Source organism: Homo sapiens, chromosome 15 (genome assembly GCF_000001405.40).
Source record: "Homo sapiens chromosome 15, GRCh38.p14 Primary Assembly".
In the NCBI taxonomy this organism is placed as follows: Eukaryota; Metazoa; Chordata; class Mammalia; order Primates; family Hominidae; genus Homo; species Homo sapiens.
The window spans coordinates 42,796,612-42,808,809 of NC_000015.10; the positions used below are offsets into that span (position 1 = coordinate 42,796,612).

General features: G+C 42.6%; 1 protein-coding gene and 1 pseudogene across 10 annotated transcripts in view, besides 1 other annotated feature; both read right to left on the reverse strand.

Moving 5' to 3' along the window:
• Positions 1 to 12,198, reverse strand: part of TTBK2 (tau tubulin kinase 2) — a 182,271-nt gene that overhangs the window by 57,882 nt on the left and 112,191 nt on the right. The gene's annotated exons all lie outside the window — the stretch shown is intronic.
• Positions 840 to 1,134: a silencer, noted in NCBI's record as "tiled region #5629; HepG2 Repressive non-DNase unmatched - State 13:Ctcf". NCBI's record gives its function as "represses a minimal TATA promoter and a strong SV40 promoter by Sharpr-MPRA in HepG2 cells {active_cell/tissue: HepG2}" and the evidence as "EXISTENCE:reporter gene assay evidence [ECO:0000049][PMID:27701403]".
• Positions 4,157 to 5,858, reverse strand: KRT8P50 (keratin 8 pseudogene 50; annotated as a pseudogene).

Genomic DNA, 12,198 nt, shown 5'->3' on the forward strand with positions numbered 1-12,198 from the left:
AACCATTTCACTAAGGAGGATGATCAAATGTTATCAGTTGTAAATGTATAGTTATTTCTGTATTTAATTAATTTCTCTTTCAACCCAGACTATATGCTCCAAGATGCTGACATTAATCTGAGCTTACTCATCATTGTGTCTCCAGGATCTCATACATTACCTTATTCATAACATTCCTAAAAACATTCCAATAATACATGTTAATTTGTAATAATATTTACTGACTCACATGATTTAATCTTTCATTTAAGTTCCAAAAGGAAGAATTGTAAATACAGAAAAAGAAACTAAAAAGATAAAGGGAACTGGAAAAGACATAGTTATAAAATCTGAGAAATTTTATTTGGGTCCTATTTTTGTTCATGTAAGTCACCTACGTTATAGCTTAGACTTCTCCAAATGTCAGAGGTAGAGGGCCGTAGAAAACACAAAGGAGGAAATAAAGATGGACTGGAACCTAGGGAATTGAAGTGCCAGACCTTTGACCCTCTCTCCTAACTCTGAAATCAAGGTTCTCATAGGTTCTCACAGAGTGAGATGCATGCTTCCTGGAAGGTGGAATCCCCATACAGGGGAGCCTTGCTATGTGAGCACTTAGACTGCCACTGCTAAATTCTCTGTCTGTACTGTGCTGCAACAGGAATGATCCTAAATGGCTTTTATGTCAGATGTCCTTTTATCATGGAATTATTTTCTTACATCTGTCACAGTATTGTATGTCTTAGAAAATGTATTCTATGGCACTGGACCTCAAATTAGAAACAGTTTGTTACTACGATGGTGATATTAGACACCAGCAGCAGGAGGCAGAAAGATGGAGGACACAGAACAAAAGAAATAGGAAAGCTAAAAGCACTGAGGCACTTAAAGGCACCCTAGTGGGAACAAATGGTCAGACTGGGCAGAGGTCTGCAGATATTTTAGAGAAAAACATTTCTAATCTAGCAAAATAATTTTCTAATTCGGGAGCAGGGTGGCGCTAAATCCTAACCTTCCTCAGATTGGAATAGTAGAAACAGGACAAGTCAGGGACTTACTTTTTTTGGTAACTGAATGTGTTACATCACATTTGGTTATGATAAATAATAAAAACAGAAAACTCTTAATTCAGTGAGTCAAATAGATTTGAGAATAAAAATTACCTTGTAAGTCATCTATATAGTATATACAGTATATGTAGTGTGTGAATACATGTCTGTGTATATATATATATGTGTGTGCCTGTTAAATTTGAATAGTCCTCATGCCTTTTTTATTTTTTATTATTTTTATTTTTATTTATTTATTTTTGAGACGGAGTCTCACTTTCTTGCCCAGGCTGGAGTGCAATGGTGCGATCTCGGCTCACTGCAACCTTCGCCTCCCGGGTTCAAGCGACTCTCCTGCCTCAGCCTCCTGGGTAGCTGGGACTACAGGCACACGCCACCATGCCCAGCTAATTTTTGTATCTTTAGTAGAGACGGGGTTTCACCATGTTGGCCAGGATGGTCTGAAACTCCTGACCTCAGGTGATCCACCCACCTCGGCCTCCCTAAGTGCTGGGATTATAGGCATGAGACACCATGCCCAGCCTCTCATTCTTTTTTATATCCCAATGTCACTGGGGAACAAAGCACTTTCCCATCAGAACAGGGACTCACTGTGGCAGTAATTCTCAAACTGGAAAGGGAGAAGGGAAAAATCTGAAAAAAATCTTCAAAATGATTCCAACGCTTCCCTCTAAAAGGCATGTCCCATATCTCTTCATTGGTAATCTCTGAAAATCTAGTATACATCTGACTCCTTATTTTACTTAATAATACATTCTTAGAAAATACAAATTCACCTACATTTAGAGTCTAAGTTTCTCAAACTAGGGTAACATGTACCCCCAGGGGATGCAGCCATATGCCAGAGAGAATTTAAAGTCATTTGACAATGTGGCACAGCTTCCTCAAGTATTTTACACAGAGGTATGACATTTATTACAATATTTCATAATACAATGAACACAAAGAAGTTGGAAGGCAAAATTTAAATGAACCTTTAAGATAAATCAGGAGAATACAAAGAAATTTTGGACTTATGGTTGATACTGTAAGGCTATTCCCAGACTTCTTGAGAAATATGCTTATACTTGGCTGCCAGAGGAGTAACTGGTGAAACAGTGTGAGAAACACCAGAAGCAATTATCTTCGGGAAAGTGAATCTTCTGTAAATGGATGTAGGGAAGAGAAGCAGTTAAGTGAAGGGGAAGTTGTTTGAAGAGGAGGAAAAGAGGAGGGAGAACTTGAAGAAGGTAATGAACAGGCAAAAATGCTACACAGGTTGAGCATCCCAAATCTGAAAATCGAAAATCCAAAATATTCCAAAACACAATTTTGGGTGCTGAAGTGATGCTCAAATGAAATGCTGACTGGGGCATTTCGGATTTTCGATTTGGGTTGCTCAACCAATATAATGCAAAATATTACAAAATCCTAAAAAATCTGAAATCCACTGGGCGCGGTGGCTCAGGCCTGTTATTCTAGCACTTTGGGAGGCCAAGGCGAGCGGATCACGAGGTCAGGAGATCGAGACCATCCTCACTAACGTGGTGAAACCCCGTCTCTACTAAAAATATGAAAAAATTAGCCAGGTGTGGTGGCGGGCACCTGTAGTCCCAGCTACTCGGGAGGCTGAGGCAGGAAAATGGTGTGAACCTGGGACGCGGAGCTTGCAGTGAGTGGAGATCATGCTGCTGCACTCCAGCCTGGGCGACAGAGTGAGACTCCGTCTCAAAAAACAAACAATCTGAAATCCAAAACACTTCAAATAAGGGATATTCAACCTGTATTACTTTTGTTTGTTTGTTTGTTTTTGAGACGGAGTCTCACTCTGTTGCCCAGGCTGGAGTGCAGTGGTGTGATCTCAGCTCACTGCAACCTCTGCCTCCTGGGTTCAAGAGATTCTCCTGCCTCACTTCCCAAGTAGCTGACACTATAGACATGTGCCACCACGCCCAGCTAAATTTTTTTGTATTTTTAGTAGAGACAGGGTTTTGCCATGTCGGCCAGGCTGGTCTTGAACTCCTGACCTCAAGTGATCCTCCTGTCTCGGCCTCTCAAAGTGCTGGGATTACAGGCGTGAGCCACCGCACCCGGCCCTGCATTACTTTTTATTTGGCCACTGTGTGGATTATTTGTGTCAACCCCTCTTCTACTTGCACTTATGAATAAGAAGCAGTCCATTTTAAATCTGATGGGATATTCAATACAATGATTTTTCAAAAGCAAATTATTCAAGATACAAAGTAATAAAAGTCAATTACAGCCTAGGCAACACGGTGAAACCCTATCTCTACCAAAAATACATAAAATTAGCCAGGTGTGGTGGTGTACACTTCTGGTCTCAACTACTTGGGAGGCTGAGGTGGGAGGATTACTTGAGCCCGAGGAGGCAGGGTTTGCAGTGAGCCAAGATCACACCACTGCACTCCAGCCTGGGTGACAGAGTGAGACCCTGTCTCAAAATAAATAAATAAATAATAAAAGTCAATTACTATGTCAGGATAATGAGATTCTGAATAATCTAGATTTTCTATTTTTCTGTTAATTCTAAAACTTTTATAATGACCACATATTACTTTTAATAACTAGAAAAAATTAACCAACAAAAATATATTATTCTAAAATAAATTGACTATATACCTATATGCAGCCTACATAGATGCTTGGTGCAAGCTCCTACTACCTAAAATACCCTTATTCTTTATGGCAATCAGTCATCTGACATACACACAATGCCTTAGGGAAGCACTCCTCTCATCCTTAGCACAAAATGCAATCAATAACTGTATCATATTTACCTCCATATGAAATCCCAGTCTGCCCTTTCAAAGAGAGTGTAGACCAAGTCCAGCTTTTGCAAAACCAAGAATTATTTGTAAGGTGATATTAAGAACTCACTAAGAATCCTGATTCCTGAATTCTCAGTTAATAAATGGAAAATTAGTGGATCAATAAAGTACTTAAGCAGGAGAGCACTATGGCAATGTTGGCTTGGCTGATTGAAAGGCAGATTATTTAGAGCAAAAGAAATTGCCCCACTTCAGTGATAAGTAGATGCAATAGAGGGAAAGAAATGCATACAGTCTTTTTTTTTGGCAGAGCTAGCCGAGGTTTATTTTGGGAAAAAAAAAAAAAAGCAATTGAATTGTTTCATAGCTGGAGGCATGGGCAAGGGGGGGTCCCCAGGTAGTAAACTCCCTCGCGGATGGGCTGAGGGCTAGGGCTGAGCCTCGGGTGGGTCTCCCGTTCCCTGTGTTCCCCTGCACAGTGGCCTCCCTCCTAGGCTCTGCGGCAGCCGCAGGAGGGACAGGCTGGGAGGGGCTTCACTTGGGCAGGACGTTGGAGGACTCAGACACTAGCTTCCCATCACGGGTTTCGATCTTCTTCATGACCACGGCCCTGGAGGAGCTGGTGTGGCTGAAGGAGCTGGAGCCCATGCCAGAGCCAAAGCTGGAGCCCAGGCCGTAGCTGAGGCCAGGGCTTGTGAGGCCCCCATAGGCCAAGCTCTGACCACCTGCATAGCTGCTGGTGGTCTTCATATGGATACTCATGTTCTGCATCCCAGACTCCAGCCAGCTCTCCTCGCCCTCCAACAGCTTCCTGTAGGTGGCGATCTTGATATCCAGGGCCAGCTTGACGTTCATCAGCTCCTGGTACTCACGCAGCTGCCGCGCCATGTCTTGACTGGCTAGCTGCAGGGCGGCCTCCAGCTCAGACAGCTTGGCATTGGCATCCTTAATGGCTAGCTCCCCACGCTGCTCGGTATCTGCGTGGCAGCCTCCAGGGAAGCCCTCTGGCCTTTGAGACCCTCAGTCTCAGCTTGGAGCCAGCTGATGTTCCGGTTCATCTAGGAGATCTCAGTCTTTGCACACCACAGGTCATCCCCATGCTTCTGACCCAGCGTCTGCAGCTCCTTATACTTGATCTAGTACATGCTCTCAGCCTCAGCCTGGCTGCGGTTGGCAATCTCCTCGTACTGCACCTTGACCTCAGGGATGATGCTGTCCATGTCCAGGAAGCGGCTGTTGTCCATGAACAGCACCACAGATGTATCCGAGATCTGGGACTGCAGCTCCCGATCTCCTCTTCATACAGCTGCCTGAGGAAGCTGATCTTGGCAGTCAGCTCTTTCAGGGAAGACTCCAGCTCCATCTTGTTCATGTAAGCTTCATCTACATACTCCTTGATGAGCACAAATTCATTCTCCATCTCTGTACATTTACTGATCTCAACCTCATACTTGTTCCTGAAGTCCTCCACCAGCCCATGCATGTTGCCAAGCTCCGCCTCCAGCTTCAGCTTCTCCTGGCCCAGAGTCTCCAGCTGCCACTTAAGGTTGTTGATGTAGCTCTCGAACATGTTGTCCATGTTGCTCCGAGCCATCTTCTGCTGCTGCACGAGGCTCCACTTGGTCTCAAGCATCTTGTTCTGCTGCTCCAGGAACCGTACCTTGTCTATGAAGGAGAAAAACTTGTTGTTGAGGGTCTTGATCTGCTTCTCCTCCTGGGTGCGCACGGCCTGGATGTTGGGGTCCACCTCCAGGTTAAGAGGGCTCAGCAGGCTTTGGTTGACAGTGATGGTGGTGATGCCTCCACTGGCCCCACCATATCCTGCACCCAGGCCACCCCGGAAGCTGCTGCTGCCCATTCGGGAGAAGCTCGAGGAGCTGATGCAGGCACCAGGCCCACTCGTGTAGGAGAGGCTGTTAAAGGCCTGGGGGCCAGAGGTGGACACCTTGTAGGACTTCCGGGTCACCCTGATGGACATGGTGGAGGCAGGCGGGCCGAACCAGACGGAATCCCAGAAGGAGTGGAGAAGCTGCTTCTTGGTCTGCACACAGTCTTTACTTCTCTGCTCTTCTTGGGGATTTTAGCAACATTGGTAAAGAAAAAAATTTAACTGCACCCATCCTCTAACAAACTAAACCAGCAAAAATAAAATAAAATAAAATAAAGAGAATGAGTTGAAGAAGCTGCAACCTTTACCTGTTTTCACCATTAAGTCGGGTGTCACATAGCAACGGGGATACATTCTGAGAAATGTGTCGACAGGCATTTCATTGTGCAAGCATCATACAGTGTACTGTGATGGTTAATACTGAGTGTCAAATTGACTGGATTGAAGGATACAAAGTATTGATCCTGGGTGTGTCTGTGAGGGTGTTGCCAAAGGAGATTAACATTTGAATCAGTGGGCTGGGGAAGGCAGACCCATCCTTAATCTGGGCACTATCTAATCAGATGCCAGTGAATATAAAGCAGGCAGAAAAATGTGAAAAGGTGAGGCTGGCGTAGCCTCCCAGCCTACATCTTTCTCTGATGCTGGATGCTTCCTGTCCTCCAACATCAGACTCCAAGTTCTTCAGTTTTGGGACTCAGATTGGCTCTCCCTGCTCCTCAGCCCGCAGACGGCCTATTGTGGGACCCTGTGATCATGTGAGTTAATACTTAATAAATTCCCCTTTATATATATATCTCTATTCCATTAGTTTTGTCTCTCTAGAGAACCCTCACTAATACATGTACTTACACAAAGCTAGATGGTACAGCCTATTACACACCTAGGCTATATAGTATAGCCTATTGCTACTAGGCTACCTATCTGTGTAGCGTGTTATTGTACTGAATACTGTAGGCAATTGTTATGCAATGGTAAGTATTTGTGTATGTAAACATATCTAAATATAGAAAAGGTATAGTAAAAACACAGTATTATAAGCTTATGGGACCACTGTCGTATATGCAATCCATCATTGACTGAAATATCATTATGTGGCACATGACTGTATATTAAGATACTGGAGATTCAGAAGTGCCCCATGTGGTTGGCTGCCCCAGGACCTGAGGCAGGGTAAGGCAGCATGGTCACTTACTCAGCCAAAAGTGCTGGATGATATCAGTCTTCCCTTTCAGGGGCTCAGTCAGTCCAAAAGGTAAACTGCCTGGAAATATAGTACACTAAGGCTTTTCAGTGCCTCCTCACAAGGCCAATAAAAAAGGTAAACAACATTTTCTTATTGCTGTGACAGGACAAAGCAGCAAAGAGGAAATAAAAGAAGTTCTATTAACATAGAAGGTAATGCTGAGTGAAGAAAAATGAGATGATTTTAGGCAGGGTGCGGTGGCTCACATCTGTAATCCCAGCACTCTGGTAGGCCAAGGCGGGCCGATCACCTGAGGTCAGGAGTTCGAGACCTGGCCAACGTGGTGAAACCCCATCTCTACTAAAAACATAAAAATTAGCCAGATGTGGTGGTGCACACCTGTGGTCCTAGCTACTTGGGAGGCTGAGATGAGAGGATTGCTTTAACCCGGGAGGTGGAGGTTTCAGTGAGCCAAAATTGTACCATTGTACTCCAGCGAGGAGTGCAAAAAAAAAAAAAAAAAAAAAAAGAGAGAGATGATTACAAGCAAATGCAGCATCACTGTGGTACATGTAAAACTACTTACATTTCTTACATTTACATGATACTTTAAAATTTATAAATTATTATCATAATTACCTCATTAAAAATATTAACAATGGCCAGTTGCCATGGCTCACACCTGTGATCCCGGCACTTTGGGAGACTGAGGTGGGCGGATCACCTGAGGTCAGGAGTTCGAGACCAGCCTGACCAACATGGTGAAACCCCATGTCTACTAAAAATACAAAATTAGCTGGGCGTGGTAGCACATGCCTGTAATCCCAGCTACTTGGGAGGCTGAGGCAGAATTGCTTGAACCCAGGAGGTAGAGGTTGCAGTGAGCTGAGATCACGCCATTGCACTCCAGCCTGGGTGACAAGAGCAAAACTCCATCTCAAAAAAAAAAAAAAAATCTTAACAACAATGCTGTGAAGTCAGTATTTCCACCATTTCACAGACTAGAAAACTGAGATCTAGAAAGGTTATCCAAACAGTGTGTGGCAAAGCATCAATTTAAACAGGTCTTTTAAGTATGGTGCTATTTCTACTAAAGAAGAGTTACAGCCAGTCAGCAGGCAAGGTAAAAACAGCATATAGTTGAAATTATTCTTGAAAGTGCCTTAAAATGTCCATAAAGTACAGAATACTACCATTTCTCAATAGGTGCAACAGAGCCAGTTTTTCCTCCAGCTCTAGAATAGACGTCTTTTCCTCAGATGAATGTGGATAAAGTAAGCTGGCTGCAGACAGCAGTCACATTTGTACCAAAAAAAGTACTCTGCTTTCAACTACTGGACTCATACTGGTGCAGCCTGATTTGGGGCCACTGAACTGCTGTCAACGAGAAGACTGAGAGAATAGCAGATGCATGAGGGCACTAAATCATTACCCTCACCATAAAGCATGACTAAGCCAAAGGACAGGCAGAATCACAGACGTTAAGATTTTTCTACCTCCTGAACACACAGCTGAATTTAAGAGAGTCATGTAAACATAGTGTGACTCTATTGTATTCTATAGCTACATCAAATATCCACTCCTTGTTTCAGACATACATTGACTGCCTACTGTCCTAGGTGCTGGGAATACAAATGTTAACAAAACACAGTCCTGTCTTTGGGTGGTTTACATTCAATAGAAGCAATAATCAAGCAGATTTAATTAAATTTTTCACTTTTATTAAATGCCTATCATTGTGCTATGTTCTTGAGAAAATTGAGATAAATGTGCAAGGCCCTGGCTCTTAAGGAGCTTATATAATAAAGAGACAAAACAAAGTACTGCTGCTCTAAGAGTTGAACCGAAGAAACTACTCCAGTATGGAATATGGAAGGAATTGAAGGAATCAGAGGAGGCTGCGGAGAAACTGACATCTGAGTTGGGCTTTCAATTTCACAAGACAAGCAGTGTTATGAAACAGAGGCACGTTCCAGGTAGGGCACACTGGGAGAAGAGCTGGTAGTCTCATCTGACTGCATCGAGGGGTCTAATATGACTAGATCACATAAGTACAATGGGGAATGAAAGGAGATAAGGCGTAATGGGGCAGAGGCAACAATTCTCCCATTTCCCTCCATCTCTATTACTTCTCTCAAGTCAAGGCCATCATCATCTTGCCTCCTGGCCACAAGGGAATACTCTATCTCCTAGCCTCCCCTGCAGTTAGAATTGGGCCAGCGTGATTGAGTTCTGACTACTGGGCATACACCAGTGTTGTAGATCACTTCCAGGCCTGCTGTAAAACCCCTAAGCCATCATCCACACTATACCCTTTCCTGATAATAGTAAAAGGCCATGTATTAAAGACAGCAGTGTCAATATATGGGCAGAGCCTGGATTTTCAAGTTACTCTTAAGAGTTGCCTAGGAGAGCTGTACAACTTGACTAATGTATTATATGATCAAGAACCTTTATTGTGTTAAGACACTGATTTTTAGGCCAGGCATGGTGGCTCATGCCTGTAATCCCAGCACTTTGGGAGGCCAAGGTGGGTGGATCACTTGAGGCTAGGAGTTTGAGACCAGCCTGGCCAACATGGCAAAACCCTGTCTCTACAAAAAAATACAAAAATTGGCTGGGCATGGTGGCATGTGCCTGTGGTCCCAGCTACTTGGAAGGCTGAGGCAGAGAATCACTTGAACCCAGGAGGCAGAGGTTGCAGTGAGCCGAGATCACACCACTGCACTCCAGCCTGGGCAACAGAGCAAGACTATGTCTCAAAAAACAAAACAAAACAAAATACACTGATTTAAAAAAATTTATTTCTTTCCAAGGCACAGCTCAGCTTATCTCAGTACCTTCCCAACTAGTCTCTGATTCTCCTTTGTTTCATTTGGATGCACATAACCGCAAAAGTAATCCTCTTAAAGCACAAATTGGATCACCATGCTCCTGTTTATAACACTTCCAACGCTTTGTGTTGTACTTAGAATAAAAATCCAAACTCCTTAAAAAGGCCTACAAGGCCCTGCATTATCTGGTTTCTGACTCTTTCCAACCTCACCTCAACCTGGTCTCTCTCCTTATTTATTGTCTGACCATACTTGTCTTCTTTCAGTCCTTTCTCCCATTAGGGCCCATGCATGTACATGTTCTTCCCTTGGCTTGTAACATTCTACCTCTTATTTTTGCTCTTCACATGGCCAACACAATCCCATCTTTTGGGGCTTGGCTTACAATCAAGCTTCTCTAACCTGTAACCCAGGATGGCTTTGAATGTGACCCAACACAAATTTGTAAACTTTCTTAAAACATTATGAGATTTTTTTGTGATTTTTTTTTTTTTTGGCTCATCAGCTATCATTACTGTTAGTGTATTTTATGTGTAGCCCAAGACAATTCTTCTTCTTCCAGTGTGGCCCAGGGAAGCCAAAAGATTGGACACCCCTGGGCCTTACATGGTAGCTTTAGAAAGAGACCTTCCTTGACCACTCTATTTGATCGGAGGTTCCCCCTTGTTTTCAGCTCAACCTTGTAGCATCTATGCCCTCAGAAAAATTTAATTCAGATGTTATCAGAGTCAGAGGATCCTACAACTGCTCTATGTCCCCCAAAGCAAGAGGCAAATCTACTGCATTTTTATGTAATCTACATTTAAATAGCCCCATTCCTAAACCTGGAAAGTATATTAAGAAGATTAATGAAGCTTGCTTAGCTTTGCATTTCCTCTCTATCCTATCCTCTGATATTAGCAACGTTGTAGCAGTGGGTGAACTGGTTGAGATACACATTTTAGTTTCAGGCTCACCAACGGTGTGTATATTTATGGATTCCATTAGTCTTCTCAACTTGCTAAGTGATGCTTAACAAATTTGAACACTCTAATAAAGATATTTGTGTTACCAGGATCACGTGATCCTATTATTATTATTATTATTATTATTTTTGAGATGGAGTCTCACCCTGTCACTCAGGCTGGAGTGCAGTGGCACAATTATGGCTCACTGCAGCCTTGATTCACTCAAGTAACCCTCCCATCTCCGTTTCCCAAGTAGCCGGGACTACAGGTGCATGCTACCACACCTGGCTAATTTTTTTTGTTGTTTTTTGTTGTTGTTGTTGTTTTGTTTTTTGTAGAAACAGGGTGTTACTATGTTGCCCAGGCTGGTCTCAAACTCCTGGCCTCAAGTGATACTCCTGCCTCAATCGCCCAAGGTGCTGAGATTACAAGCATGAACCACTGTGCTTGGCCCACTCTGTCTCTTATAGTTGTTATAATATTCAGAATCTGACAAAAACAATATTTATAGGAACATATCTGCTTTAATCTTGTTTATAATTCTGATATCTTCACATTTATTTTAACAGACAGAAAACATTATTTATGCACTTATAGGGTTAATTTTTCTTGTATTCTCTGTGTAGGAGACTGTTGATCCAAAGTAAAGACTTAATTAAATTTGCCTAACATTTGTTGAAAATTTAGGTGCCAGGTGTAATATGGGGTTAAAAAAATAAGACATGGCTGTTTCTCCAGGATTTAAAAGCTAGTTAGGAAAACAGACTCATACATAAATACTAAGTACAGATAAACTTGATGTAATTTCCCAAAATAATATAATACTTCTCAAAAGCAAATTTCGACCTTTACTGTAAAGTGAGAGACACATGAAAGATTCCTGGTAGAAAACAAAATAGCTACTCTCTCTAGGTCCACAACTGATGTCAAAGTGAACAGCAGCAGCTATTGGATGAGGTGTTGGCCATGTGCAACGTGTTGAAGTAATAATATTCTATGGCAAGATATTCCAATTTTTAAAGATTTATAAAATATACACAAAGTGAAAGTGGCTCTGTAAAACTGCATCATTTAACACTTTGATTATAACAAAAAAACTGACTTTGGTCTTAGCTCAGAATAGACAAAGCTGGAAACATATCATTGCTATTTGACCTTTGATGTAGCTAGGGAAGCAGTCATATTTAATATGGATATGCTTTTTGCTTGTTGCTGGAGGAGGTTTATTGTTTTTTTTAACTTTATTGGTTGTCCCATGAGAAACCTAAAATTTTGAAAGAAAAGACCAGGTATGGTGGCTTCATGCTGGCTATTTCAGCACTTTGTGAGGCCAAGGCAGAAGGATTGCTTGAGGCCAGTTTGAGACCTGCTTGGGCAACATAGGGAAACCTCATCTCTGCTTTAAAAAAAATAAAAAAAAAAAGCCAGGCATGGTGCACACTTGTAGATCAAGCTACTCAGGAGGCTAAAGTGGGAGGATCACTTGAGTCTTGGAGGTTGAAGCTGCAGTGAGCCATGTTTGCACC